The sequence below is a fragment of the Homo sapiens genome, chromosome 5 (genome assembly GCF_000001405.40).
Source record: "Homo sapiens chromosome 5, GRCh38.p14 Primary Assembly".
In the NCBI taxonomy this organism is placed as follows: domain Eukaryota; kingdom Metazoa; phylum Chordata; class Mammalia; order Primates; family Hominidae; genus Homo; species Homo sapiens.
Window position 1 is genome coordinate 132,417,253 of NC_000005.10, and position 27,643 is coordinate 132,444,895.

The 27,643-nt window shown below is 46.7% G+C and overlaps 2 long non-coding RNA genes across 7 annotated transcripts in view, besides 9 other annotated features; one reads left to right on the forward strand and one right to left on the reverse strand.

Annotated features, from left to right (window-relative positions):
- The window catches only part of CARINH (colitis associated IRF1 antisense regulator of intestinal homeostasis), a 65,116-nt gene that overhangs the window by 6,324 nt on the left and 31,149 nt on the right, over window positions 1–27,643 (forward strand). Inside the window, exon 2 of the long non-coding RNA NR_161242.1 lies at window positions 2,571–2,688. This is a non-coding gene — a long non-coding RNA (colitis associated IRF1 antisense regulator of intestinal homeostasis). The remainder of the gene's footprint in view (window positions 1–2,570; window positions 2,689–27,643) is intronic.
- Window positions 2,164–10,165, reverse strand: LINC02863 (long intergenic non-protein coding RNA 2863). 6 transcript variants are annotated; one of them, NR_186385.1, is made up of 4 exons: window positions 10,090–10,165; window positions 9,416–9,530; window positions 9,030–9,258; window positions 5,412–8,360 (listed from the first exon to the last, which is right to left on the reverse strand). It is a non-coding gene; the product is annotated as a long intergenic non-protein coding RNA 2863 (long non-coding RNA). The 6 variants fall into 6 exon arrangements; NR_186384.1 differs by lacking the exon at window positions 10,090–10,165 and having other exon boundaries at window positions 9,416–9,458; NR_186383.1 differs by lacking the exon at window positions 10,090–10,165 and having other exon boundaries at window positions 9,375–9,458.
- Window positions 3,559–3,698: an enhancer, noted in NCBI's record as "active region_23072". NCBI's record gives its function as "activates an Ori minimal core promoter by ATAC-STARR-seq in GM12878 lymphoblastoid cells {active_cell/tissue: GM12878}" and the evidence as "EXISTENCE:reporter gene assay evidence [ECO:0000049][PMID:35858748]".
- Window positions 7,884–8,003: an enhancer, noted in NCBI's record as "active region_23073". NCBI's record gives its function as "activates an Ori minimal core promoter by ATAC-STARR-seq in GM12878 lymphoblastoid cells {active_cell/tissue: GM12878}" and the evidence as "EXISTENCE:reporter gene assay evidence [ECO:0000049][PMID:35858748]".
- Window positions 8,614–8,833: an enhancer, noted in NCBI's record as "active region_23074". NCBI's record gives its function as "activates an Ori minimal core promoter by ATAC-STARR-seq in GM12878 lymphoblastoid cells {active_cell/tissue: GM12878}" and the evidence as "EXISTENCE:reporter gene assay evidence [ECO:0000049][PMID:35858748]".
- Window positions 9,184–9,383: an enhancer, noted in NCBI's record as "active region_23075". NCBI's record gives its function as "activates an Ori minimal core promoter by ATAC-STARR-seq in GM12878 lymphoblastoid cells {active_cell/tissue: GM12878}" and the evidence as "EXISTENCE:reporter gene assay evidence [ECO:0000049][PMID:35858748]".
- Window positions 10,086–10,672: an enhancer, noted in NCBI's record as "H3K27ac-H3K4me1 hESC enhancer chr5:131763030-131763616 (GRCh37/hg19 assembly coordinates)". NCBI's record gives its function as "activates a minimal SCP1, AML or CMV promoter by ChIP-STARR-seq in naive H9 embryonic stem cells {active_cell/tissue: H9 hESC(naive)}" and the evidence as "EXISTENCE:reporter gene assay evidence [ECO:0000049][PMID:30033119]".
- Window positions 10,304–10,373: a silencer, noted in NCBI's record as "silent region_16320". NCBI's record gives its function as "represses an Ori minimal core promoter by ATAC-STARR-seq in GM12878 lymphoblastoid cells {active_cell/tissue: GM12878}" and the evidence as "EXISTENCE:reporter gene assay evidence [ECO:0000049][PMID:35858748]".
- Window positions 10,404–10,483: a silencer, noted in NCBI's record as "silent region_16321". NCBI's record gives its function as "represses an Ori minimal core promoter by ATAC-STARR-seq in GM12878 lymphoblastoid cells {active_cell/tissue: GM12878}" and the evidence as "EXISTENCE:reporter gene assay evidence [ECO:0000049][PMID:35858748]".
- Window positions 10,673–11,257: an enhancer, noted in NCBI's record as "H3K27ac-H3K4me1 hESC enhancer chr5:131763617-131764201 (GRCh37/hg19 assembly coordinates)". NCBI's record gives its function as "activates a minimal SCP1, AML or CMV promoter by ChIP-STARR-seq in naive H9 embryonic stem cells {active_cell/tissue: H9 hESC(naive)}" and the evidence as "EXISTENCE:reporter gene assay evidence [ECO:0000049][PMID:30033119]".
- Window positions 10,794–10,893: a silencer, noted in NCBI's record as "silent region_16322". NCBI's record gives its function as "represses an Ori minimal core promoter by ATAC-STARR-seq in GM12878 lymphoblastoid cells {active_cell/tissue: GM12878}" and the evidence as "EXISTENCE:reporter gene assay evidence [ECO:0000049][PMID:35858748]".

The window sequence follows — 27,643 nt, forward strand, 5'->3', positions numbered from 1 at the left end:
TTGCAGCGAGACCTTTGACTGGTCAGCTCTTCCCCTGCTGGGGTCCTTCAACTGCACCACTCCTCTCCATCCCCACGGCCACCACTGTGGTGCAAGCTCTCACACCTCTTGCCTGGACCACAGCAGTGACCTCTAGCTGGTCCCTGCCTCGCCTCGCCCTTACGTCCAGTCTGGTTTTTTACAGGAGCTAGTATGTCCTATTCTCCTATTGCTGCTGTAACAAATTACCACAAAATCAGTGCCTTAAAACAACACAAATTTACTCTTTTAGAAGTCCTGAAATTAAGGCTTTGGCAGGGCTGCGTTCCTTCTGGAGGCTCTAGAGGAGAATCGTTTTGTTGCTTTTTCCAGCTTCTAGAGGCCACTGCATTCCCTGGCTCAGGGCCCCTTCCTCCTCTTCGAAGCCAAGTCTTTCTCGTGCCACATCATTCTGAGGCTCCTCATCTGAAGTCAGATCTCCCCCTGCCTCCCTCTTATAAGGACACTTGTGATTATGTTGGGCCCACCTGGATAATCTCCGGTTCTCAGGACCCTTAACTCGATCACATTTGCAATGTCCCTTATGCCATATAGGGGAACATACACACAACCTCCAGGGATTCACACATAGACATCTTTGGCAGGGCCATTACTCAGCCTACATAGATAATCTTTTAAAAGTACACATCTAAATGCATTAATCCTCTGCCTAAGACCCTTGTGTGGTGCTCCAGTTCTCCAGGGTTAAGGCTCGAACTCCTCTTGTGGCTGGGAGTGTCATGCAAGGGTCACCTACACTGCTTCTCCAGCTTCACCCTGCCTCCTGTCCCTGCCAACTACCCATGATCCAGCCTGTGCACAGGGTGTGCTTTTGACAGGGACACTGCTTGATATGGTTTGGATGCATGTCTCTTCCAAATCTCATGTTGAAATGTGATCGCCAGCATTGGAGGTGGGGCCTGGTGGGAGGTGTTTGGGTCATGGGGCTGGATCCCTCATGAATGGTTTGGTGCCCTCCCCGAGGTAATGAGTGAGTTCTTACTCTGTTCAGGCGAGAGCTGGTTGTTTAAAGGAGGCTTGGCACCTCCTCCCCTTTCTTGCTCCTTCTTGTGCCATGTGACATGCCAGCTCCCCCTTTACCTTTCACCATGATTGTGAGCATCCTGAGGCCTGACCAGAAGCCAAGCAGATGCTGGTGCCACACTTGTACAGTCTACAGAACTGTGAGCCAAACCTCTTTTCTTTTCTTTTTCTTTTTTTGAGACGGATTCTCGCTCTGTCACCCAGGCTGGAGTGCGGTGGCACGATCTTGGCTCACTGCAACCTCAGCCTCTCCAGTTCAAGCAATTCTTCTGCCTCAGCCTCCCAAGTAGCTGGGATTACAGGCGTGCACCACCACACCCAGCTAATTTTTGTGTTTTTAGTAGCGACAGGGTTTCACCATGTTGGCCAGGTTGGTCCCGAACTCCTGACCTCAGATGATCCACCTGCCTCAGCCTCCCAAAGTACTGGGATTACAGGTGTGAGCCACTGCACCCCGCCTTAAACCTCTTTTCTTTATAAATTACCCAGCCTCAGATATTCCTTTATAGCAATGCAAAATGGACTAACACATTGCTCCTCCCCACACTCCATTTCAGGCCTCCCCTTAGACAAGGTCAGGCCTCCTTGAGATGCTCTCACAAGGACTACATGCAATTCTGCTATCACACCTATCACAGATTAACATCTTTGCATTTATTTAGGTGATTATTTGACTAATAATAGATGTTCCTCTTATGTAAGTACTCCATACAGGCAGAGACCATGTCTATTTCTTACCCACAATTTTATCTGGCATAGTGCCTGGCATGCAGCTGTGGGCAAGAAATGACATGGTTAGTAAGTCCTTGGAAATAAGTGAATAAATGAATGGGTATTAACAGCATTGTCATTGTGCTCTATCTCTTTTTCCCTGCTTTTTCTTCTGCATGGCATTTGTCTCCTTTTCTACTGTTGCCTCCCCGCACTGGAACAGAAGCTTCGTGAGAACAGGGACTTTGTCTTGTGTGTTCGCTCCTCTCTTCCCAGGTCCTAGAACAGTGTCTCGTCCATAACAAACACTCAATGAATATTTAGGGAATGAATGTCTGCAAGATGCTGAGAATCTCTCATAGAGTTTTCATATGTGACCCCTCTTTGAAATTGGGTATTATCAAGTTATTCATTTTAATGATTCAACCTAATTCAGTAATCAGGCAAATTGGCAGAGACCTAAAATATTTACCCGTTGTTGTGAGGATGAAATAAGTAAACAAGTGTAAGTTATTTAGAGCAGTGTCTGGTAACCACAGCCCTGTGTAAGAGTTTGCTGCTGTTGTTAAGAAATGCTTGACTTCTTGATATCTTAGAGTTTTTGCTGACTCTGCTGCCTGTGTTGGGATCCCAAGCAGAAACTGTTTGTGGCCCAGCAGGTGTTGGCACTGGGTGAGTGCTTCTGGCTCTTGTCCCACGACGGGCATCCAGGTCTTCCAGCGGCCTGAGGATATAGGAGGGGCTTCAGGCGGATGATTGGGGCCGTTGCTTATGTTTTTTCCTTGTTTGGCCTGCAGGTGGCAGCACACCCTGGGCCCCCCACTCCCCGCCGCAAGTCCTGAGGATGGCCAGCAGAGAAACAAGAAAATGGACTCCCTGGCTGCTGGAGAGTTGAATGCCAGCCACCAGCCATGGGTGAGTGGAGAGCCTGACCGGAGTTTTTCTCTAATTTGTTCTGCATTATTTGTGTTTTGATATATGAATTGGTGTAAATCACATGTGTTCAATTTTGAGGCCATTTGTTGATTTTTGCGGTTTATTTACAAAAACAACAAACAATAGCAGTGAAACCAGAATTATTCCTGCAATGTTTCAGAGAGTATGAGGGACAAGGGCGCATCCTCTGCATTGTAAGTGTGACTTCCCTTCCCTTCTGCATCTTGGGCCTGTCTCCTTTGCCATCCAGGTAGGAGGTATCCACCCAGAATAGTTCAACAAGTGTGTGGCAAGCTGGGAGTGTGAGGTGTTCTTCACGGGGACCCTGCAGTCCTTCTTCCAGTCACTCCCAGGGTGGACTATTCTGCACTGTCATGCCTGGCCCCTAAGAACCCAGGGTTTCCATCTGCCTGCACAGGCCTTTCAGCCCCTTGGTGGACTTCTCCCGCTGACCCTCCCCTCTTCTCACCCCTATTAATTTCACAGCTCTATCTTATTTATCCCAAGATCCTATTTGTGCTGCATTCTGAGCACTTGAATGAGGATTGTTTATTTTCTGTTTTGATCACATTTGTTAGCTTTGTGCTTAGAATAAAATAATTTCAGTTTCATAAATGGGAATAAGCCCTTATGTCAAGGGCCACTACATCACTTCTTGGCATTCCAGTGAGGGGTCTAGTGAAGAGCTTCCCTGAATTTCAGTACCTTTCAAGGCCTCTCTTGAAAGAATGTGGAATTAATTTGGGTGGAGGCTTGTGCATGGACTTTTTTCTGAGTGTATTTGGCCAGTGGGCCAATGGGGAAGCAGAGGCATGGACAGAGAGAGGAATGCGGCAGAAGGAGAAGCTGGGGCTGCAGGATGCCATTTGCTGTTTGTATGGCTTCCCATGGCCCACTGTAGTGGCTAGAGGGCACTGCCAGGAATCCTTCATGTGGCTGTTGCTTGCTGTTGGGGAACATGATTCAGAGCTGTGTAGCTCCATGTCCAGTTCCACTCTGCATCTCACTCACAAAGCTCTAGCGTTGGGCTGCTGGGTTTTGGTGAAAGCAGGTGCTATGAATATATTGAAGGACAAATCAGTCCCTAAGGGACTTCGATAGACGCAGTCCTAAAAACATTTCCGGGCTGGTTTCTTTTTTTTAAACACCAGTTAACCGTTTTCAGTTTAACTGTGTTTTCCTTCCTGAAACCTTTAAGTGAGACTAATTGGTATGATTTTTTTTTGTATGCTTTGTTTTTAGGGAGTTTCTCAACTTGTCAAGTCTGCGTTGCAGACAGAGATGAAATGATTTTTTTTTCCCACACAGACCAAGCATGCAGAAATGGGAATGATTTAAGTTTGTCTTTAATTTAATTTCTATATCTTTCTTTTCCTTTCCTTGGGAAATAGAGGAAATACTTGGGGGCATTTTCACCAAATTGTAACTTGTAACTTCACAAGAGCCCATCAGCAGGAATTTCTATGCGTGTTTTAATGCCTGGTTGGGGGAGACATGAAATGACAACAGACAGTTGCCCTCAAGGATCCTTTGTTCTGTTTGGGGAATCAAAACTGTGTTCCTCCCTGTAACACCAAATACTAGAGCCCCAGGGGCAGGTCCCATCATGAATGCCCAGTAGTCAGTGCCAAAAAAACCCAAGTCAGGGAAGACTATGAGACCTGCCTCTGGGGCTCTAGTAAATTCAGATGAGAGAAAAGAAGGTGGGTGGTGTTTCCAGGCACACAGGTGTGAGAAGGACTAGGGAGCACTTAGGTCCAACTTGAACATTATTTGGAGGAGTGCAGAGAGATTGTATTGGACAGGTTGGTTAACCAGATTTCAGTGGTGGTGAGAGTTTGACTATCAAGCCAAGGAGTTTGAATTTGATACCATAAGGAATAGGAAGTGGCCGGGCGCGGTGGCTCACGCCTGTAATCCCAGCACTTTGGGAGGCCGAGGCGGGTGGATCACGAGGTCAGGAGATGGAGACCATCGTGGCTAACATGGTGAAACCCCTTCTCTACTAAAAATACAAAAAATTAGCCAGGCATGGTGGCGTGTGCCTGTAGTCCCAGCTACTCAGGAGGCTGAGGCAGGAGAATGGCGTGAACCTGGGAGGTGGAGCTTGCAGTGAGCCAAGATTGTGCCACTGCACTCCAGCCTGGGTGACAGAGTGAGACTCTGTCTCAAAGAAAAAAAAAAAGAATAGGAAGCACGGTTGGCCCTCCATACCAGCAGGTTCTGTGTGTGGACCTGTGGATACGGAGGGCTGACTGTGCTACACATTTTTTGTTTGTTTGTTTTTTGTTTTTGAGATGAAGTCTCACTCTGTCACCCAGGCTGGAGTGCAGTGGTGCGATCTTGGCTTATTGCAACCTCCGCCTCCCGGATCCATGCAATTCTCATGCCTCAGCCTCCCGAGTGGCTGGGACTACAAGTGCATGCCACCAAGCCCGCCTATTTTTTGTATTTTTAGAGGAGACGGGGTTTCACCATGTTGGCGAGGCTGGTCTTGAACTCCTGACCTCAAGTGAGCTGCCCACCTCGGTCTCCCAAAGTGCTGGGATTACAGGCACGAGCCATTGTACCCAGCCCTACGTCACTTTTTATAAGGAATTTGAGCATCGTGGCTTTTGGTATCTGAGGAGCTGTCCTGGAACCAATTCCTCGAAGATGCTAAGGGACAACTGTAATAGGCTTCTGAATGGGGGACAACTGACTGTTTTAAATAGGAACTTTTATTTCCATTTTACATCTGCTTTTCAAATAATGTCTTTTCAAATAATTCTCCAAGGTCACAGGTTGGTGGGTGGGGCTTAGATCTGCCAGACTCCAGAGTCCATGTACACGCTAACCCCTGCACTGGCTTGCATTATCTCCAGACACAGGTTGGCCTGCATGTGACCAAGGCTCCACCCAGCCCTGACCTTGGATGACTCTGAGTCTATACATAGCTGCATTTGCGTGTCAGCCTCACTCCCTGGGCTGAACTGTTTATAGGGTGAAAGGGGACTTTGGGTAAGTCACTTCCCTGTCTTTCTGAGACTCTAGGAAATCAGGGGCAGGAACTCAGCTATGCATCCATGGTCTGCACAGCAGCAGCCCAGATAAGTTCCAAGAGCTGCAGAGGCTGTCAGAGAAGCTTCAGAGCTGTAGGTCCCTGGGCAAGTCTCCTCCAAAGTGGGAGCTGCAGGGCTGATGCGGATCCAGGCAAGGTGACAGCACAGCACAAGTTGACTCCTGTTACTGCCCTAATCGTCCAGCATAGGCAGGAGGAGTTGGGGATTTGAAGTTTGAAGTTCGAGGAGTTGAACTTTGAAGTTCTTTATGCATTCCTTTGTCATTCCTTCATAGAATATTCAGCAAATAACTTAGCACCTAATTGTTCCAGGTCTGGCCCTGGGCCCTGGGCTTACAGCAAGGAACAAAACAACCCAAGTCCCTGCCCTGGTGCCACTTACATTCCAGTTGGGGAGACAGACAATGTATAACACAATGTTAAGGAGCAGTGAAGTAGAAGAGGAAAGCAGGGAGAGGGGATAGAGTACTAGGGCCAGAGACCTAGAGGTCCAGGAAGGCCTCTCTAAGGAGGAGCATTTGTGCAGAAACCTGGCATTTGAGCTAGCCAGGGAGCTAGCAATGTGAATGTCTAGGTTGCAGGCAGAGGGAATGGCAAGTTCATAGACCTGAGGTGGGATTGCCTGGGAAGCAGCGAGTAGGGCAACGCATTAGGGAGAGAGGAGAGTGGGAAGAGCCCAGGCTGCATGGGGCCAGACCTTGCCACCTTGCCAGCTATTGAAGAAAGGTAGGGTTTTGTTCTTTCTCCAGCTCTAAGGTATGTTTCAGGCATCGTTCCTGGCTGACTGGCTCTAAATCTGCAGCCCTCCCAGAGAGCCTTTGATCAACCCAGTATCCTCCTATATCATCCCTTTTCTGGCTGAACTAACCACTGTTCATTCTGTTGTCTACAACTATGAACCCTGCCTAATACAGAGCTTTGGAGGAGGAGGAGAGTGCCAACCAGCTTTATAAGGAAATTAAATATGTTTTTAAGGTTGGAAAAGATGCACTTGGATATTATACTAAAACGTTTAAACTTTGGTAGAAAGGGCTCCACCTTGGCCATGCAAAGGGGCCTTTGTCATCACTGTTTCCTCCCCTAGGAGCCAGGAGGCTGGGGTCAGTCTCCTCCTTACCTGCCAGCCAGGGGCCTAAGCTGGTCACCCTTGCTTGACCTTCGTGGTCTCACCTGTATAATTCAGTTAGTTATATTATTCCTGCCTGAAGGGAAAGAGGAATGACTTATTGAGGGTCATTTCTATGTTGGAGGTCTCTGATGTTGCGAATAAGTTCCACAGAAGGTTCTTGGGGGTTAGGACTCTTCCCTGAATTATGTCTGGGCGGGGCAGGGGGTGATTTATGTTTATTTTATGCATCCTCCCCACTTTTTTTTTTTTGCTTTCAAAACACTTTTACCTCTGTCCTTGATCTCTGTAAAAGGGCTCTGTATGTTACAGTGGTTAAGAGCATGGAAAAACAGATGTGGTACTGAGTGCCAGGTCCACCTTTGCTAAGTTTGTCACTTTGGGCATGTCCCCTAACCAGCCTGTTCCACAGTTTCCTCATCTGAGAATGGGTATGAAAATAGTAGCTACTGCAAAGGGTGCTGTGAGAATAAATATGATAATGCACCCAACACAATTCCTGACCCAGAGTACAGCCTCCCTGAAGGTCAGCTGTAATGATTGTGATATGTAATGATTCCCACCCAACAGGCAGGAGAGCCTAGACCATGGAGGCTAGGTGACTTGCCTATGGTCACCTGATAAAGCCAGAGATAGAAGCCAGGGCTCATGGAGTCCCAGGCCAGTGGTCTTTCCCCAGGATTCCTGTTGTTTTTTAGGAGGAAATGTTAATATAGACAGTTCTGTCTGTGTCTAACCCCTTAGTAGCTGGTTCTGGCTTTTGTAGGGGATTGGGGGACAGGACTTCCTCAGCACACAAGACCCTCAATCCTAGGCATTAGCCCCTCTGGGTGGGGCATTTGTGGGAGCAGGGGACATGGCATGACTCCCTCTTTGTTCTGTGAGAGGCAGAGGGGGTTAGGAGTGCTGTGCTCCCAGGACTCTCCTCCTCCCACCGCCACCTGCTGCCTGCCAGATCCTGTAGTCCTTCCTGGGGAATCATCACAGAGGCCTCCAGGAACCTGGAGTGGGGAGGGAGCAGGACAGGCAGGTCCTCCCTCCTGTGGCAGGACTCTGTGGCTCAGGCCTGGGAACTGAGTGTGGGAGGAGGTATGGTCTCCCTAAATAGTTGCTCCCAGCGGGCCATTTGGAAAGAGAAACAGACTTTTGCGCTAGGGGGCAGGGGCATAGATACCCTCTGCAGCTGCCCTGGTCACCTTGTTGCCTGAAGACTGTTCCCAGTGGTCTTAGATACAGAGTGGTGGCCCTTGCTCCTGTCAGAGTAGGTTTAAAGACCACACAGGTAGATTTCTCCCAGAAACAACACCACTTAGAATTTTCCTTCAGGGAGCATAGCACAGGGGAGATGTCCACACACAGTCATACCTGTGTTTGAATCCCAGCTCTGCCTTTTTGCTTGTGGGTGGTCGAGTTGGGAGTGTGCTTGAGAAATTATTCAGCCTCTTCAACTCTCAGTTTCTACCTCTATAAAACGGGAACAAGAATACTTACCTCAAAGATTTGTGGTATGAATTAAACAAAATAACCTGTTTGAACTGCTTAACATGTGTGTGCACGTGGTAGCCCGTGGTAGCTATTTTTATCATCATCATCATCGTTAAGCATGTCAGTGGCCTCTACCAGTCTGTGGGTGGAAGCAGCTTTCATGTGTGGCTCAGCCTCATGGAGGCTGTGCATTTGCTGTGACTCAGGATTCTAGAATGACTGAGCCAAAGATCTCAAACTTCTCTTTGCTATATTGTTATTTGCAGTCACACTCACACACTCAGTTATCCAGGGTGAATAATTAAGTTTCTGTTGATGTAGGTTGCCATGCTGTTTATTTCCCTGTTTCTCTTCTGTTTAGTTCAGCGTCCTTCAAAGAAGACAATAGTTAAGTAGCTAAACTATATTGAGGGCTTAGTATACTAAAAGTGTTACATAAATTAGCCCCTTTCATTCACATAACCAGATTTAGAAACAGAGTTTCAATAATGCCTAAGACTACACTGCTACCGTGCAGCAGACCCAGCAGACCCGGGCTTCACATGTCTCATTCCAGAGCCCACACTGGCCTCTGTACTACCCGCTTTTAAACAGGACAGTGGTTGAATTTGGTGACCTTGAGAGATCAGGTAGTCTGGTCTTTCTTACCTCCTTTCCAGGCTGAGCTGAACATCACAGAGGGGAATATCTGTGATTTTCTTGAGAAACTTTACAGCGAAAGCTGCTGGCTCTGCCCTTGGTAGCCATTTTTATGGTCTGGAGGGACAGTGGCTTCTTCCTAGAGCCACTTTGCAGTGTTCCCTTGAGGCCAGCTGTCCATCCTCGAGAGCAGTTAGGAGGTCCATGTTGAGAGTGTGCTCAGTCCTTAGTTGGAAACCTGGAAACGCAGACCATGAGGGTGGTGTCCCACTGGCACATGGCAGGTGGGGCCTTCTGCCACCCTGGCTGTGTGTGTGGCGTCCAGTGCGAGTGGTAGCCAGACATCATGCCCACCTGCCCTCGAGCTGCTTGCCTGCAGCTGGCTCCTTACTCACAGATCTGCATCCATCCGGCGCTGGGGAGCAGAGGAAGTGGTCTGTGGGCCAGCTGAATTGCCCAAGGAGCTGAGTCACTGGCTGATTTCGGCCTGCCCTGCAGTCCCTGGGGTGACTATGGTGATAGGGGAGAGAAATCTGCTTATCTAGGGGCCTTGAAGCCTGAGAACTCAGACACTCCAGGAGGGTCCTTCATGCCACAGCATTTACTGAGCACCTACTGTGTGCCTAGAGAGGTCATGCGAGAGACCTCAGCATGGGAGTGTGTGTTGGGCTGCCTGGAGCCCGGGTGGCTGGTGGCCACCAGGGAGCTCCACTGCCTTAGAAGGATCTGAGGCTGGCAGAGGGGCCAGGTTGGTGTGCTGCTGTTTATCTGAGCAGATTCCATGACAACCAGGAGATAAATGCCTGAGGTCAAGCAAACCCTGAAACAAGATTAGGTGTCTGGGTAGGGTGGGACCTATACTGTGATTTGGAGACCCTTAAGTGACCAGTATCTTCTGGGTGACTATTTAGCATGCTTAATTAATTTGTTAATTAACTAATGCCCCATCCTACTCCAGAAAGGATTGAAAGTGACTCAATTCAGCAGGTCTTTTAGAGGGAGGAAGGCATCCTGAGTTTGCTGTGAGTGAAAAGCTAGGGTTTATTCAGGCCCCGAGAGGGTCATTTACCAGCTGCCAGCCCAGCTCCACACTCCTAGGGCTGGCTCCCATGAAAGCACAGCCTTTGCTGCCAAAGCTGGTTTGCAGCGTTGCTGGGATCGCCTCCTGGTCTCTTTGCAACAAGTGGCCCCGACACCTTCCTGCTTTGATGCAAATCATGTGACTTAAGAGAAGCAACCTGACCTCAATTACCAGGTGCAAACATCAGTCACTGAGAGTAAGCAGGAGGCCTCCAGTGTCCCTGGTTGTTTTAGCCTCCAGCATTAAATATTAAGAGTGAACTGTTCAGGGTGTGATAAAGGCTGTGTCTCACAGTTTATGATTTCCAGTAAACCAGAGGGCTTAAAGGAAGGGCCAGGGACAGGTGAGAGATTCCAGACCTGGCCCTCTGCTGAGCTGGTAGAGCAATTTCTGCAGGAATGGGAGGGGCAGGGAGTGAGTCCACAGCTAGTAAAGATTTGCCCTGTTCTGTGGCACAGCTAGAGAGCTGCATTGTCTGCCCAGCAGGCCCCAGAAAGTGAGGCCAGTTTCTGCTCCCAGCCAGGCAGCTGCATGCACTCTCAGCATAGGGATATGGGAAAAAGAAGAAGTGTGATGTGTCCTCACCGTGCTGGCCACTGTGCCTGCCTCCTGCTGGGTGCCAGGCCAGCCAGGAGCCCTGGGCACATTCCTCTATCAGTGTAGGCAATGGGCAGCTCCAACTGCTCTCACAGAAAGCTAGAGGAACATTTCGGTATTCAGAGCCTTCAGACACATGGGCTGGGGTTGCTCAGCATCTGGCCTCCATGGGGAAGTCCAGGCCACAAGGAAGCTGCAAGCAGGCAGCATATCCCACTTAGGCCTAGGAAGGGAACTGAGGTCCCCCTCCCACCCTGCAATGTCATAAGGAGACTCAGCCCTTTCTGAGTTTCTCTAGAGCACCTAATCTGATAGCAGTGATAGAAGCCATACATCAAATTAACTCAGCATGCAGTAACAGTGGCATGCATTCATTTAACAAGTATTTAATGAACACTTGACTCTCTGCCACACACTGTACTAGATGCTGGGCATACAGTAGTGAACAGACAAGGTCCCTACTCAAATGGAGCTACAGCATAATGGTGGAGATAGAAAGAAAACACAGAAATAAAACATTGGTGCTAGCAGTAAGTGCTCTCTAACAAATTAAAATAGACTGAAGTGTAATCAAGTGACTGAGTGACTGCTTTGGATTGGGTAGTCAAGGATAGCCTCTGAGGAAGTGGCATTTCAGGGGATACCTGAAAGAAAAGACTAGAAAAGAGCAGGTGAAAGAGCAGACTCTGTCCTGTCTGCTGTAGGCGCAGGAGAGCCAGAGTGACAGGAGGAGAGGAAGAATGTTCTAGAACATATAGCTTGGTTAACTTGCTTTGGTGTTTGTGACACTTTCTTGCTTATTTTCTGAATTACGCGCTAAACCTTCATTCAGTAAAGTTTTATTGCATGCCCTCTGAGTGCCAGGAATTTTGCCGGATGGCATTAAAATCAAGATGAATATGTCAAGTCTCTTCTCAAGGGGTGTCCAGTGTGTTGGGAGAGATGAGCCAGGAAACCAAGACAGTGTGGAAGTGCTGTGAGTGAGAGAATCAAAGAGGGCTAACAGGAGCATACAGAAGGGCTTCCCAACTCCCCGTGGGCAGTCCAGCAGGGCTCCCAGAGGAGAGGACACCTGAGAGGTCCTGGAGGCTGCGGAAGGTTAGCCAGAAGGAGAATGTATGTCCCAGGCACAGAGAGTGGCCTGTGCAAAGGCCTGGAGGGTAGGGTAAGCAAATGAGAGAAGGATGCTGGAGGGTCTTGGAGATGGAACAGGTGGCCAGGAATCACAGAAAGCCTGGAATGCTCTGCTCTAGAGCCTGAACCAGACACTGGAGAATAGCTTGCGGAATGAAGACAGATTCCTAAGGGGCCAAGTCAGCAGCTGGTAAAGGCTGGAGGAAAGGACACTGAGTTTATGAGTCACTGTTCAGACCACTCTCTGGGGCTCCCTTCCTACCTGGGAGCTATCCCAGGCGACGACCAACACACTCTAGCCATTTCCCAAATCAGAATAGAACATTCACCTGACCCAGGCACCCAGGCAGGAACATGCAGGTATTTAAACATCCAGGTTAACACATTTGACTACTTGGTTTTGGGGGAGCAGGCATGATGGGTTAAGACTTATTAATCTGGAAGTAAGCACTAGGTTTTCCTTTAGGGCAGGAAGACCTTCCTTGCAAAATCCCTTTCTGGCAAGTCTCACTGGGCTGTAAAATTGCAAACGCACTGTTATCACATCCCAATAAGTGCATGATTTGATTTTAAAGTAAGATAATCTTGCGTTCATTCCAGCCTCATAGGGAACATACAGTTTTCTCCATCCTTTTCTCTTACTTACTCCCCTTCCTCTGTTTCCCTCTGTCATCTCTAATCCCCAGAGTATCTGGTTATCTTTTTTATACACTCATTACTCCTTCAAAACACTCCAATATAGATAACAATACTTGATTATTTGGAAGTTATCTCAACTATACATGAGCTGATGAAAACCAGGAAGTAAGCAATAAGCAAAACAGGCAGACAGAGAGTCCAAAGTCCAAAATAAATTAACATTTGTTGAGGACTTGTGGACTTACTATGTTCCAGGCATTATGCTAACCTCATCACAGTCTCTATTTTGATTAATCTTCTGTTTGCCCCTGCAGATCCACTCTCCGTCCTCTCTACCTGCTCTGGGTTGGGAGGCTGACCTGAATGGGCCACATCACTCATCTATCTTGCCTCTGGATTCTAGTTAGATTTGGTCCATGGGGAGCATTAGCAAGAGATGGAAGGACTCAGGAAGATGAGGTCAGGAGTTCCCCGAGGAGGGCAAGTGGTTAAGTTATTCCCCCGGGTCCCTATCAGGTCGCTTTAGGCCAACTGCATCCTCCACTGGAGCCCACAGCTCCTGCCAGACACCCTTCCAATAGCTGCCTCCTTTGGGTCCCCTTACCCATTTATTCCCTTCCTTCATACCTTCAGGTTACAAGTGGTAACAGCTCCCCATTGTTGCTAGCCCCCATATGCTTCACTGTCTCATCTTGATTTCCCTGAGCCCTCCCCACACCTTTGTAAACAGTCCCAGTCCAAGTTCACCATCTGTTTCCTACCCAACTTGATGATACAACGAGGTAAGCACTGTATTAGCCCATCTTAAGACAAGTAACCTGAGCCCCAGAGAAGTTTAATAACTTGTCCCAGAACACACAGCTGGTAAACCACAGAGCTAGGTCTCAAATCCAGGTGTTTCTGATTCCAAAGCATGGGCACGTTTCGTCATTATATCATATTGCTTCCCATGCCCTAAAGATCGTCTCCCCCAGACTTCATGAAACATCAGTTTACTCTGGTATTTTTCCCAATCAGCAACCATTTAAAAAGAGCAAACACTAGAAGTAAATGCTTTCAAATAAATCGTGAGAGGTAACTGATGCTGGTCTGGATTGAGAAAGGCACAATAACTATTCAAAATAGGCCTATGAACTTCAGAAGCCTGTGGAATCCACACTTGCCGTGTCCTCTGCACTTTCCTTCTCTGTGCCTTCTGAAGGGTGGTGGCATTGACATCACCATCTGTGGGAGCTCACATAAAGTCCTGAATCTGCCAAAAGACATAACTTGAGGTTGCCTAACATCACCCCCATGTAGTATCCAAACACTGGTCCTTATTTTAGTGGCTGGTTTTCATGTTTAATTTGTGATACCCCAAGAATACGACAGAGGTTCTTTTTTTTTTTTTAAGTTCTGAAACTGCTGATTCAGTTTGCATGAGGATATTACTTTTTTAAAGGAACTTTCAAAAACACCTAAAATTTAATTTTAGCCATAGTTTAGTTAGAGAATCCCTGGGTACAGAATTTTTCTCTACTTCCCAGCATTTACAGAATCTGATGTCACTTGGGAGTTGGAGGGAGACTTTGGGGGAACAGCCAGGAAGTGGCCCTTGGGTCCTTGAGCCATCTAGTTGGGGAGAAAGGGCCATTTTTACCCTGAAACTCTGTTCTGTTCATGTGCATTGTCCCAAGGTTCTTATGAAGACAGTCGGTCCTTATGAAGACAGTCAGTTCTTGACTGTCTTCATGACTTGTCTGGCCAGCTCTTCAATACCTTAGCCAGACAAGACCATAAAAGGCCACCTGCTTTACTTATATTTGACTGTTGGTAAGGTTGACCCTGAAATCTTTTACATTTGTATTTCTTTTGATAATTTTGTTCACATGTATGTTAGAAACTGCTCATTGCTCTACAGTATCCATTCCCTCTTTCTTAGTAACAAAACCAATTTTTTGCTGATCCCTTTTCCACCCAGCTGAAAACTACGTTCCCCTGGCAATTTTGCAGCAAAGTGTGATCATGTGGCTGGGTTCCGGACAATGGATGCAAGTGGGTGTCATATGGGACTTCGAAGCCAGCTCCTTAACAGGAGGGGGTGTGCCCTTTATTCACCCTCCTTTCTCCATCCTACTTTCTTAAATGAGGATGTGGTGACTATCACTCTAGCAACTACCACAAGACATGAGAATGAGAGCTGCACTTTAGGAATAGGGGCAGGATGAGCCAGAAGAAGCGTAGGTCCCTGGTGACACCTGAAGTCACCAAACCAGCCCTGAACTGATCATTTCTAGACCTTTTTTTTCAGTGAGAGAAAGAAAGAAAATCCCATCTTGCTTAAGCCACTATTGTTTTCTGTTTTATGTAACTGAACAAAATTCTAACCAATACAAAATAATGTTTATAATACACAATACCATAATCAATGCTGTTTTTCTTTTTCTTTCTTTTTTTAAGAGACAGGGCCTTGCTTTGTCAACCAGACTGGAGCGCAGTGGCACAATCATAGCTCACTGCAGCCTCGAACTCCTGGGCTCAAGCAATCCTTTTACCTCAGCCTCCAGAGTAGCTAGAACTACAAGTGTGCACCACCATACCTGGCTAACTTATTTTTTATAGAGATGGGATCTTGCTGTGTTACCCAAGCTGGCCTTGAACTCCTGGGCTCAAGCAATCCTCCCACCTTGGCCCCCTGAGTAGATGGGATTACAGGCACATACCACCATGCCCAGCTCCAGTGCTGTTTTTCTTTGGAGAGTGTATTTTTATTACTGATTACAAACTCATCTGTGTTTTTTGGGTTTTGTTGTTGTTGTTGTTTTGTTTTTTGCTTTTTTTTTTTATATGAAGTCTCACTCTGTCTCCTTGGCTGGAGTGCAGTGGTGCAATCTCAGCTCATTGCAAACTCTGCCTCCTCAATTCCAGCGATTCTCCTTCCTTAACCTCCTGAGTAGCTGGCATTACAGGCGCAAGCCTCCATGCCCAGCTAAATTTTTGTATTTTAGTAGAGACACGGTTTCACCATGTTGCCCAAGCTGGTCTCAAACTCCTGACCTCAAGTGATCCACCCATGCTGGCCTCTCAAAGTGCTGGGATTACAGGCATGAGCCACACCCAACCATATGTTTTTTATATATGAAGGACATGTCCTTTCTGTCAGTGTTGCTGTAAATATAATTCCTTGTTTTTGCTTGTCTTTTGATTTTGTTTATGAGTTCTGTTTTTAAAGTCTTGGTGTTTGTTTTTAATATGGCTAAAATTTCTTTAAAATGCTGTTTGCTCTTTTATCCAAAATTCTTCCCCCCTTAGATAAGTATTCACCAATATTTTTCTGGTTTTTCAATGACTTCACTGTTTACAATTAGCGTTTTAGTCCATTGGTGAGTACTGTTGGTAAGTTTTTAATCTTTTGTAGGTCATAAGTGTTTAGGCCTAAATACTCTCCTGAGTTCTAAAGCAGGAGCCAGCGTCACCTCTTGTTTATACACCCTGTCCTGGCCTGAGCCTCCTGAAGGCTGGCACATTCAGCACAGACCCCTCTCACTCCTACTTCCCACCCACCGCCCTTCTGTGGGTCACCTGCCCACTACTCAAGATAGCACTCTTGGCTTCTTCTGGAACTTCTGTCTTCACCACCCTGTGTTCGGCTCTATTCCAACTCATCTCTAATTTCTCTTTACCGAGACCAGGCCGCTGACAGCCCTCTCAACGATTCTAGGAGATTTTTGTTATTTCTTCTCTGGAAATACAATATAAAGAATTTTTATATGGTTTTCCAAGTAGATATGAAGCTTTTTAAATTAAAATTTTGTGTTCTGATAAGAGAAATGAACCATCTTCATCATTTTAAGAAGTAGAAAATATATTATAGAAAAGCACCAAAGAAAATAAAAACAACATAGAAAGTAAAAAGTGAAAGCCCTACCACCTTCAAGAGGTGACCTCTGTCAACAGTTGATATATCTCTTTCCAGACTTATTTATACAAACAAATGTGGATCTTTATAAATATACGTATGCACAGCTTTGTTCATGAAAATGGGAGCATGCTATATACTTTGTACAGCAACTGGCTTTTTTTTTTTTTTTTTTTTTGAGACAGAGTCTCACTCTGTTGCCCAGGCTGGAGTGCAGTGACACAATCTTGGCTCACTGCAACCTCCACCTCCCAGGTTCAAGCGATTCTCCAGCCTCAGCCTCCCAAGTAGCTGGGATTACAGGCACCCGCCACTACGCCCAACTAATTTTTGTATTTTTAGTAGAGACAAGGTTGCACCATGTTGGCCAGGCTGGTCTCAAACTCCTGACCTCAGGTGATCCACCCGCCTCAGTCTCCCAAAGTGCTGGGATTACAGGCGTGAGCCACCACTCCCGGCTAGCAACCGGCTTTTTACAAATAGCAGTCTATTGTGTATATTTCTCTATGACAGTACATAGAGACCTGCTGTCTTCTTTTTAAAGGCTGCTTGGTATGTATTCCACCACGTAGATGTACTGCTAGTTCATCTCCTCCCCTACAGATGACCACAAAGTTTTTCAATGTCCTGATAATATTTATAGGCCACTACATCCTCATTTTTATACTTTTATGCATTTGTGCTAGTGTTTCTATAAAATAGATTTCTACAATTGAGACTGTTGAGTTAAAGGGTATATACATAGTAAGTTGTATATACTTCCAGTTGCCCCTTGTTGAAACCTTGTACCAATCAGTGCAGTGTCCTTTTAAATGGTCTTTTCATTGCCTGTTGCTTCCCTGTCTCCCCACCCCCCGGCTCTTCACCCTAGTGCTAGAATTGCTTTTATGAAACTCAGATCTGACCATGGCTTGCCCTGTTTAAAATACCTCAGTGGCTCCTCACTGTCAGCAAAACCCAAACATTCATCTAAGCTCCTTCTCAGTTGGAGTCCTCTGGGAAGCAGACACCAAAACAGAATGAAAAGTGCAGAAGATTTATTGGGGGTAAGAAGAGCTAATGCCTATGAAAGATAAAGGAGAAAGGAGCAGAAGTACGGAGAGAAAAGACAGCTTTCAGACTGCAGTCCAGATCTAACTCTGGGACGCAAGAGAGGGAAGGATAATTCTGTTGAAAGAGCATCAGACTGTGATGCGGCTGTAAGAGTGTCTCAACGAGCCCAGTGGGGAGTTCCAGCCAAAGATTGCCCAGGAGAAGAGTCGCACTTTGGGCAGAAATGGACAGGCCCGAGCAACCCTGCCATGTTCTGTCATTGGCTGGGGGCCACCCAGGAGGCAACATGGTCTGACTTGAATGGTGTGGATCCGAGGCTGCAGCCTGTCAGCTGTCTGCACTCCATGCAACAGGTCCTTTGAATGGCATGTGTTCGTGGCTGCCATAAACTGCAGCCTGCCTTTTAGCCTTACCTCCTTTGCTCTTGCTCTCTGACCCCGTGTTCTGGCAACACTGGCCTGACTACACGCCGTATCACATACAACCAACTGCCCATACCAACCCCAACCCTGACCTTTGCTCACTCAGTTCTTTCTGCCTGGAATGCCACTCCTTCCCAGTTATACCCAGCAAAATCCTAATGTGCTTTCAAGGCCCAACTTAAAAATCATCTTCTCTGGTTGACCTCACCATGTAGAATTAATTGTTCCTTGCTCCTATGGTGCTATGTGTATATTAGTACTTCCCAGATTGGAGTATTCTTAGCTGTTTTTTTCTCAGATTTTTGCCTCCTCTAAACCTAGCAAAACGTCAGCACACAGTAAATGTTGACTGAGCTGTTTCCCTGCTCCTCGCAAAGCACCTTGAGGTTGCAGAATTCCAACTCCCGGAATGGTTGGAAGCACACAGTACATGGTCAATAAGTGTTTGTTGACTTGTCTGGGACCTAGTATTGGTGGGGTGAGGTGGGCAGAAGGCTGCTGAGGGTGGGTATTTACTGTTGTTGGGGCTCACCAGTCTGGGGCCACATTGGAGTTTTAAGACTAGAGCATGTCTTCCCCTGTTTTTATTTTTCTCCATGATTTGGAAAGACCCCAGAGGTGGGTTTTTTTTTTTTTAAGTAATCACTTTATTGTCTCTGGTCAACAAATGAGAACTTTTATGGGTCTTCCCTTTTTCAACCACATTTTCATGAGTTGGGATTTTGCATTTCTTCATTACCCATTCTCCTTATGGGTAAAAGAAGAGCCATTATGATACCTAGGATGAGAGCTCCAGGTCAGATGGGTAATCATTTTCAGACTGGAGGCTCATGGGATACAGGGAATTGGGAAGGTAGAAATGATATTTTTCCTCTTCCTCTTTCCCACATCCACCAATTAAAGAACTTCCCTGGGAGTGGACCTGTGGGAAGTGGCTAAGGGTTTCCGGGGTGGGTACAGCAGGGAGTGACATCAGGGCGTGGTGGGGATGAGGTGGGTGGAGAGGACAAAGAGGGACTCTCCACCTTCCTTTGGATCTATGAGGATGTTCCTTGGCCACTGTCCCTCAGCAGAAGGAGGCTAGAGCTGAGGTGGCCACACCCTCCACTCATTTTCAATCCCTTCAAACTGTCAGGCCCTCAGAGGAAACCCTAGGGTTTCCCCACCAAGATGTAAGGGCTGTGTGCCTCTGCCTTCTCTCTTAGGGTGGTCAGCACAGGTGGAAGCAGGGAGGTACTGGGCTGAGGCTTCGGTTGTCAGTGCTAGCTTGACAGCAGTTAAGAATTTTTTTTGTTTTGTTTTTTAAAATTTATTTTTCTGTAATTTTTAATGTAGTTAAAATTTATACATAATTCACACCACTTCAATTTATACATATTGAAACATCACTATGTATCCCATAAACGTATAATTATTATGTATTATCATTGTCTGGGACCTCATATTGTGTGTTATAATGATTATACATATTTACAAGGTACATAATGATGTTTCAATACATATTATGTATAGTGATCACATCAGGGTAATTAGCATATCCACCATCTCAAATGTTTGTCATCTCTTTGTGTTGGGAACAGTCACTATCCTCCTCCTAGCTATTAGCAGTGGTTAGGGATTTTGGAAGTTGTGTAGTGTGAAGAAGCCTGTGGGCCAGAGGTTCTTATCACAGACTCTTTCTTCTTCAGGAGCTATGAACCATCCTTCCCCAAAGTGTTATCAAACTGTGCCTTTGGTGGAGGCATAGCTCTCGTCGGATTCTTTTTTGCCAGAAAGATCTGTGAACGAAACTGCTACTATGTTAACTCAGAGAACAGCCTCCCTAATAAAGAAGAGGATGTGTTCCTACAAGAGCCAGGTTTTAGTTGGATTGTTAGTGTGAGTGATGAAGACCTCAGAATGGCTCTAGAAAGAAGCCCAGATCTCAGCTTTGCACTGTGATTGTCCCCCAGCAACTTTGCATTCCCCCTGTATGGGAATAGGGACCTGTGGATTCTGTTGCCATAGATCCAGAGATTGGACCTAGGAAAGTGAGACCAGGTGGTCTGACACCTACCTCCAGAGCGGACAACCCAGAGACAGAGCAGGCCCCTGCAGGTGTAGGGGCTGGCGGCGAGAAGACAGCTATGTTTACCCTTGTAGACTAGGAATATCAGTATGAATAGACTAGTCCTAGGCTTTGAAATGAATTTTAGTGTTCATTATTATTTGGTCATTCTAAAAACCCCTATTTTGAACCTCCACTTCAGAGAAATAGTTCTGATGTTCTCAGAAAATGTCAGGAGTGTATGGTGCACAGCAGTGGACAACAAAGGAAGAGAAAACCAGAAAAGGAGAAAAGTGAATAAAAAGAAACTTCTCAAATTAGAGCAAAATACTGAATTCAGTTATGCAAGCATACAACTGTAACGTGACAACCTCTCTGATTTTGACAGTCCCCCTCCACTTGTATTTTTAAAGTCCTGGCCACAGTTATAAATAGGGAACCATATCTGTTGAGACTTCCCAAGGGTTACATAAACAGTTTGGATGGTTACATCTTTTTAAACAACAGTTTCTACAAACACTGAAAAAATCCCACTTATTTAACAGTCTGATGCCTTGAGCCAGTCCTGGGAGTCCCTGGGAGGCCTTGCAGAATCACTTCCTTCTGACTGTGAGTGGGGGCAGGGGCCTGGCTTCTTGAGAGAGAGCAGGGGAGGAAGAACCCAGTGTGTATGGGGGCGGGCAGGGAGGAGTGGGGTGGGGCAGAGGGAGGGAGGAGGAGGCCCCAGACTGCTACTCATACAGGCAGCTGTATCTTGTCTCCAGGAGAGAGCAGGGACCCAGGATGGAGCAGACATAGGTCTTCTGGGGACTCAGCCCTTTCAGGAGGGAGTGTGTGCTCTAGGCACACCCTTCCCATTTGACAATCTGATATGAGGTGGAAACAGGGTCCTTGGGCCCCTAAGTCATGTTGGGAATGTTTCCTTCTCTCAAGCCGGAAGAGCTGAGGTTTATCTGAGAAATGCCTATGTCTCTTTTGACACATCGTAGTCACTAACCCCTTGTTCCTGCTCCAGGAGCCTCTAAAAAGCCATCTAGACCAGAAAAATTGGTCTTTTTTAGTGATGGGAGTGGCTTTAATGTCATTCTCCCCTATTTAGTTATGAGCTGTACCTCAGTTTTGTCATTAGAAATATAATTTTAGGTCAGGTGCAGTGGCTCATGCCTATAATCCCAACACTTTGGGAGGCTGAGGTGGGCAGATTACTTGAGGTCAGGAGTTAAAGACCAGCCTGGGCAACATGGTGAAACCCTGTCTCCACTAAAAATACAAAAATTAGCTGGGCATGGTGGTGGGCACCTCTAATTCCAGCTACTCAGGAGGCTGAGGCACAAGAATTGCATGAACCTGGGAGGCAGAGGTTGCAGTGAGCTGAGATCGTGCCATTGCACTCCAGCCTGGGGGCGACAAGAGCAATACTCCATCTCAAAAAATAATAATTATAATAATAATTTTAGTTAAGCGTTCTCCCTTCCCAGATGTCTTTTTAGAAGTGCAGTTAGCTAAAGATACATAGCTCATTACTATAAATTAATTTTATCAAACTGATCCATGCACTTCCATTTAAAGAGGACTCGGTCCAGTGGGTCTTAACCTTTTTTTGAGGTCACACACCCCTTCCAGAATCTAATGGCACACATAGACCCTTTCCCCAGGAAAATTCACAAACATCCAGAATTTCATATGCCACTAGGGGATTTAAAAGACCCCTTTGACTCCACCCTGGGCTTCTGAGTTCTTATGAGAGGGTGGCACATGGAAAAAGTGGTGGTGAGGGGCAAGGAACAGGGACAAAAAAGGAACCTGGGTCCTTAAGAGATCACTTAGTTGTTTTACCCAAGACTTGGCATACAAAAATATCAGAAATGAGTGTCTGCTGCCAAGTGGGGTCACTGCACGTCCTAGAAAAAAAGTATGCCTTCATCTGCAGTGACACACAGCCATGGTGTTGGGACTGGCACACTGCATCTCTAAGCCGCCAAGAGCTTGACCCTGGATGGGAAGAAAACTGCCCCAGAGATGCTGGAGCTGGCTTTATGAACTGGCTTTATGCTGGGGAGGTGGATGGCAGATCGCATCCATCTGGTAGGTTGAGGTCCTCTTGGCAAGCCTACTACCATCACCTCCCAGCAGAAGAGGACTGCAAACTATCCTTAAAGGGGACTCGGTCCAGTGAGTCTTACCTTTTTTTGAGGTCATACACCCCTTCCGGAATCTGATGGCACACATAGACCCTTTCCCCAGGAAAATTCACAAACATCCAGAGTTTCATATGCCACTAGGGGATTTAAAAGACCCTGCAAAGGACACTGCAAACTCATAACCTTGAGTCCAAGATCTCTTTTTTTTTTTTTTTTTTAGGGAAGTCAATTGTATGATGTAGCTTGTGACTCCCAGGGTATTGTTCTACTCAAACTGGGGAAAACATGGGGAAAGTTTCTGGATCTAGACTTCATACACAAGCATCACAGGGGATTTTGAAAGTGATGCAGCATCGTGAAATGAGCATAGGGATCGTTTGGAGTCGAGCGCTTGTTATTTGAAGCTCCTCCTGTCTATGTGGTGACTCAAGGAGGGGAGAATTTCCCCTTTGTGAGCCAGCTGGACAAGTGTCAGCACTGCTGTCTTTGCAGGCTCTGGCACAGAGGCGCAGGGCCTGGACTAAAGGGAGTCTCCAGGGTTTGGGGGTCAGACCCAGCTTAACACACATGAAAAGGAGTGATCTTTCTCTTAAGCCATTGAGCCAGGGTCCCCCTACAGCCCACAGAGCCCTTTCCACCACCTGGTGCAGCATCTGAACCAAACAGAGGGCATGTTTGTTGCACTGCCTGGGGGTTCAGCTCCCATCCATACCACAACACAGGACAAGGCCCGGGCTTTGCACAGCACAGTCAAGTGAGCACACTCTCACGATCTGATGCAGTCCTTCTCCCACACCCACCATCCAATTTTTTCCTTCACTTCTTTGTCTTTTTTAATATTAGTAATTTTTGTTATTTCTGTTAACTGGACTTCTTGGAACTAAGATTACTTAAGCAGGATACACTAGCCATAGATGAAAAGATGGGTAAATTGAACATTTATGAACTTTTGTTCATCAAAAATACCATTAAAGAGTGGAAAGGCGTCTGGGTGCGGTGGCTCACACCTGTAATCCCGGCACTTTGGGAGGCTGAGATGGGCGGATCACAAGTCAGGAGTTCGAGACCAGCCTGGCCAATATGGTGAAATCCCGTCTCTACTGAAAATACAAAGATTAGCCGGGCATGGTGGTGGGCACCTGTAGTCTCAGCTACCCGGGACGCTGAGGCAGGAGAATCACTTGAACTCGGGAGGTGGAGGTTGTAGTGAGCCGAGATCATGCCATGCACTCCAGCCTGGGTGAGAGAGCGAGACTCTGTCTCAGAAAAAAAAAAACAAAAAACCTAGTGGAAAGGCGAGCCAGAGACTGGAAGAGGAGAGGATATTCTCTGTAACATATCCGACAGACGACTGGGGCTTATATCCAGAAGGTCCAAAGAATTCCTGTAAGTAAATAAGAAAAAAGCAAATAGGCAAAAGTCTTAAACAGGAACATCTTAAAAGTGGATATATAAATAGCCAATAAGCAAATTAAAACGTAAAAGATACAACTCTATACCCACAGGAAGGACTAAAATTGAAGACTGATAATACCAAATGTTGGCAAACACTTTTATATGCTGGTAGGAGTGTACATTGGTACAATCACTTTGGAAAACTATTTGATAGTATCTACTAAAGCTAAGACTATACCCATTCCATAAACCATCAGTTCCACCTCTAGGTACATACTCAAGAGGAATGAGTGCGAATGTCCAGAATGTCCACCAGCGGACATAAACCAAAATGTTTTTGTCTTATGTCTAATAGTATCTTTCTCCATAAGAGCCCCAAACTAGAAACAACACAAATGGCCATCAACAGTAGAATGGTTAAATTGTGTCATATCTACACAATGGGATACAACACAGCAATCTTAAAAAAGAACAAACTGTGTCTATACATAACAGCATACATGGATCGCACAGATAATGTGTAGTGGGAAGAAGCCAGACACCCGAAAGGTACATTGTATGATTCTATTTATATGAAGTTTAAAAACAAATAAAATTGGCCGGGTGCGGTGGCTTATACCTGTAATCCCAGCACTCTGGGAGGTCAAGACAGGAGGAATGCTTGAGACCAGGAGTTTGAGACCAGCCTGGGCAACATAGCAAGACTCTGTCTCTTTAAAAAAAAAAAAATAGCTGGGCATGGTGGCACATGCCTGTAGTCCTAGCTACACAAGAGGCTGAGGTGGGAGGATTGCTTGAGTCTAGGCGTTTGAGGCTGCACTGGGCTATGATCGCACCACTGCACTCCATCCTGGACGACAGAGCAAGACCCTGTCTCAAACAAAAGGCAAAAACAGATAAAATTAATCTCTGGTGATGGAAGTTAGAACAGAGGTTACTTTTTGGGTGGGTCCCAACAGGGAGGGGCATGAGGGGCCCCCTGTGGTTGGAAGCATTCTGTCTCAGTGCTACTCAAAGTATTGCAATTGCCAGCCACCTTGCCATTCACCCCACTGGCTCCTGGATGATAAGTATAAGGGTGCACCTTTGTCTGAACCCCAGTGCCTAGCACAGCCCCCGCCATGTAGAGCAGATCCTCAGTGGACATTTATTCAAAGAATGAGCAAATTGCACCAGGCGCAGTGGCTCACTCCTGTAATCCCAGTACTTTGGGAGGTTAAGGTGGGCGGATCACTTGAGTCTAGACCGAGACCAGCCTGGCCAACATGGGGAAACCCTGTCTCTACTAAAAATACAAAAATTAGCCGGGCGCAGTAGCACAGGCCTGTAATCCCAGCTACTTGGGAGGCTGAGGTGGGAGGATGACATGAGCCCAGGAGTCAGAGGTTGCAGTGAGCCAACATCATGCCACTGCACTCCAGCCTGGACAACAGAGCCAGACCTTGTTTCAAAAATAAAAAATAAAAAAGAATGAGTGAAGTAAGACATGGCCTTTACAGAGTAACATTTGTGTGTTAGAGGGGAATCAGTGTGGGAAGGCAGTTAACAACTGCTCAAAGTTTACTATAAAACAAAGCAGAAAATACATGCTGCAAAGAGAAGCAGAAATGAAGGTCTTTCACTAGAATGGGGGATGGGGTGACAAAGAAGCTGTCGGTTCAAGGAAGAGGCCTTCACAAGTACTTGGGGGACTACGGGGGCTTCCCAAAAGAGATGGTATTGAGCTGAACTTTGAAAGGTGGTTGAGATTATAATAGGCAGAAAATGGCTGAGAAAGGCAACCTGGGCTCAGGGAATGGCTCACCCAGTGGTTCTCAAACTTTAGTGCAACCAAAATCACCTAGAAGACTCATTAAAACAGTTTGCTGAGTCTCATCCCACAGGTTCCAATTCAGGAGGTCTAACAAGTCCCAGGTGATGCTGATGCTGCTGGTCTGGGGACTATTCTTTAAGAACCCCTAGCTTAAGCCAAAGCCAGCCTGTCCAGGCAACTGCATCTCCCTTTGGGCACTGTGTTAAGTGAGTGAAGGGCAAGATGAGAGGGAGGTGTGGATGGACAGGTGGAGTGGGCCAGAGCCTGAGACCTTTGGCTACTGTCTGCGGAGTTTAGGCCTAATTCTGTAGACTTAATTTAGGGCCTCAATAGATGGACATAGTGTAATGACCTGTTCTCTAGGGAAGTCCTACTCCAGGGTTTATAACACCCTCTACCTGAAGCTTAAAGCTGTACACACAGGCAGGTGATAAGTTCATACTGAGTTTGGTCCTACAGAGACAAGCCCTGCACTGTCCCCCACAGCATACCTGCCAGGGGAGACACAGTTTACACTGATAGACTGAAGCAATTGAAGCAAGGCACTATTTTAAATGTGCAACATCAGGATTATTTGTAGCCATGCATGCAGTGGGGATGGCAAGTGGAAGAGGAATCAGTCAATCTGACCATTCAGGCAAAAGCAGCAGTTTTGGTCTCAATAAAGAGATAATTGGTCTGTTTGTTTGTTTGTTTGTTTTTTCTCATATCATAGGTCCCTTCCAGATTCCCAGGGGCAAGGATTTATACCACATCCCCAGTCCATTTTTGTCACTAGGGAAGCACCTAGATCCAGGTAGTTTCCTCCAAGTGGTGTCTCTTTGGCTAAGAAAGGGAGAGTGTGCTGGGAGCGGTGGCTCATGCCTGTAATCCCAGCACTTTGGGAGGCCCAGGCAGGCAGATCAACTGAGGTCACGAGTTTGAGACCAGCCTGGCCAACGTGGCAAAAGCCTATCTCTACTAAAAATACAAAAATTAGCCAGGTATGGTGGTACATGCCTGTAATCCCAGTTACTCGGGAGGCTGAGGCCAGAGAATCAATTGAACCCAGGAGGCGAAGGTTGCAATGAGCCGAGATTGTGCCACTGCACTCCAGCCTGGGCAATAAGTGAGACTCCATCTCAAAAAAAAGGGAAGGAAGAAAGAAAGGAGGGAGGGAGAGTTTGTTGCCTGGGGAGGGAGCACCCTCTGTGGATGCTATGGATGTCCTTGTCAGAACCATCCTGGTCAGGACACACTGGACATTGGCCCTTTCCCTGATGACCCAGACATGCAAGGCGGATGCCATCTGTCATCCTGCCTACTGGCTTTTGGTTACACCTTCAATAAGCTGTACTTACTGAGTATCAACTCTCTGTAAAGTAATCTGCTGGTTGTAGTAGAGACACAAGGATGGATCAGCCATGGACCCATCCTCCAGAAACATACAACATAATAAGAGGTAGGTGACATTAAAACACCTACTACCTGATGCCTGTTCCCTCCCTCTGCATCCCTGGCTTGAGTCTAGCTGCTTCTTCTCCCTAATGCCCTGATGCTGGAGGCTGGGAGCTCTCACTCATTCAGCCTTCACCTCAGCAGGTATCACAGGGGTCCTGGGCTCACAGGGTGAGTACATCAAGATGTGTGTGGTCTGGTAGGGAGCCTTCCCGCCCCATAGCTGGAGATAGGCTAACTCCTGAGCAGGTGCTCTACAGCCATCATCCTGCTGCTGGGGCCACAACAATCAACTCTGGGCCGCCGATCCCCAGTCCCCTTGCCGGCTGGGCTTCACACCAGTAGAGGGAACCTGGGGGCCCCCTTTGCCTCAGCTTATGCTGAACTAGAGGCCTCTGGGGGTCACAGCTGCTGCATGCACGATGATCCACGGGGAGTCAGGATGGGGCTGAGGCAAGTGCAGTGTCCTGCTGCCTCCCCAAGCACCTCCTTCCTCTCGAAGCTCTGCCTGCCTTTTTCTCAGGGACATGAGAATTGGCTCACTTCCTTCTCACCTCCAACTCCCTTTTGCAAGAGAATCATCTAGAATAGAGTTGTCGGTCAAACTGTAAAATATTTGAAGACATCTATTCTGAGCCAAATATAAGTAACCAATGGCCTGTGAGACAGCCCTCAGGAGATCCTGAGAACATGTACCCAAAGTGGTCAGGCCACAATTTGGTTTTATACATTTTAGGGAGACATAGCCATCAATCAATGCATATAAGATGTACATTGGTTCTGTCCAAAAAGGCAGGACAACTAGGTTGGGGAGTGGGGGTGGTTTCAAGTCATAGATGGATTCAAAAATTTTTCTGATTGACAATTGGTTGAAAGAGTTATTATCAATAGAAAGCAACAGAAAGGAATGTCTGGGTTACGATAAGGGGCTATGGGGACCAAGGTTTTATTATGCAGATGAGGCCT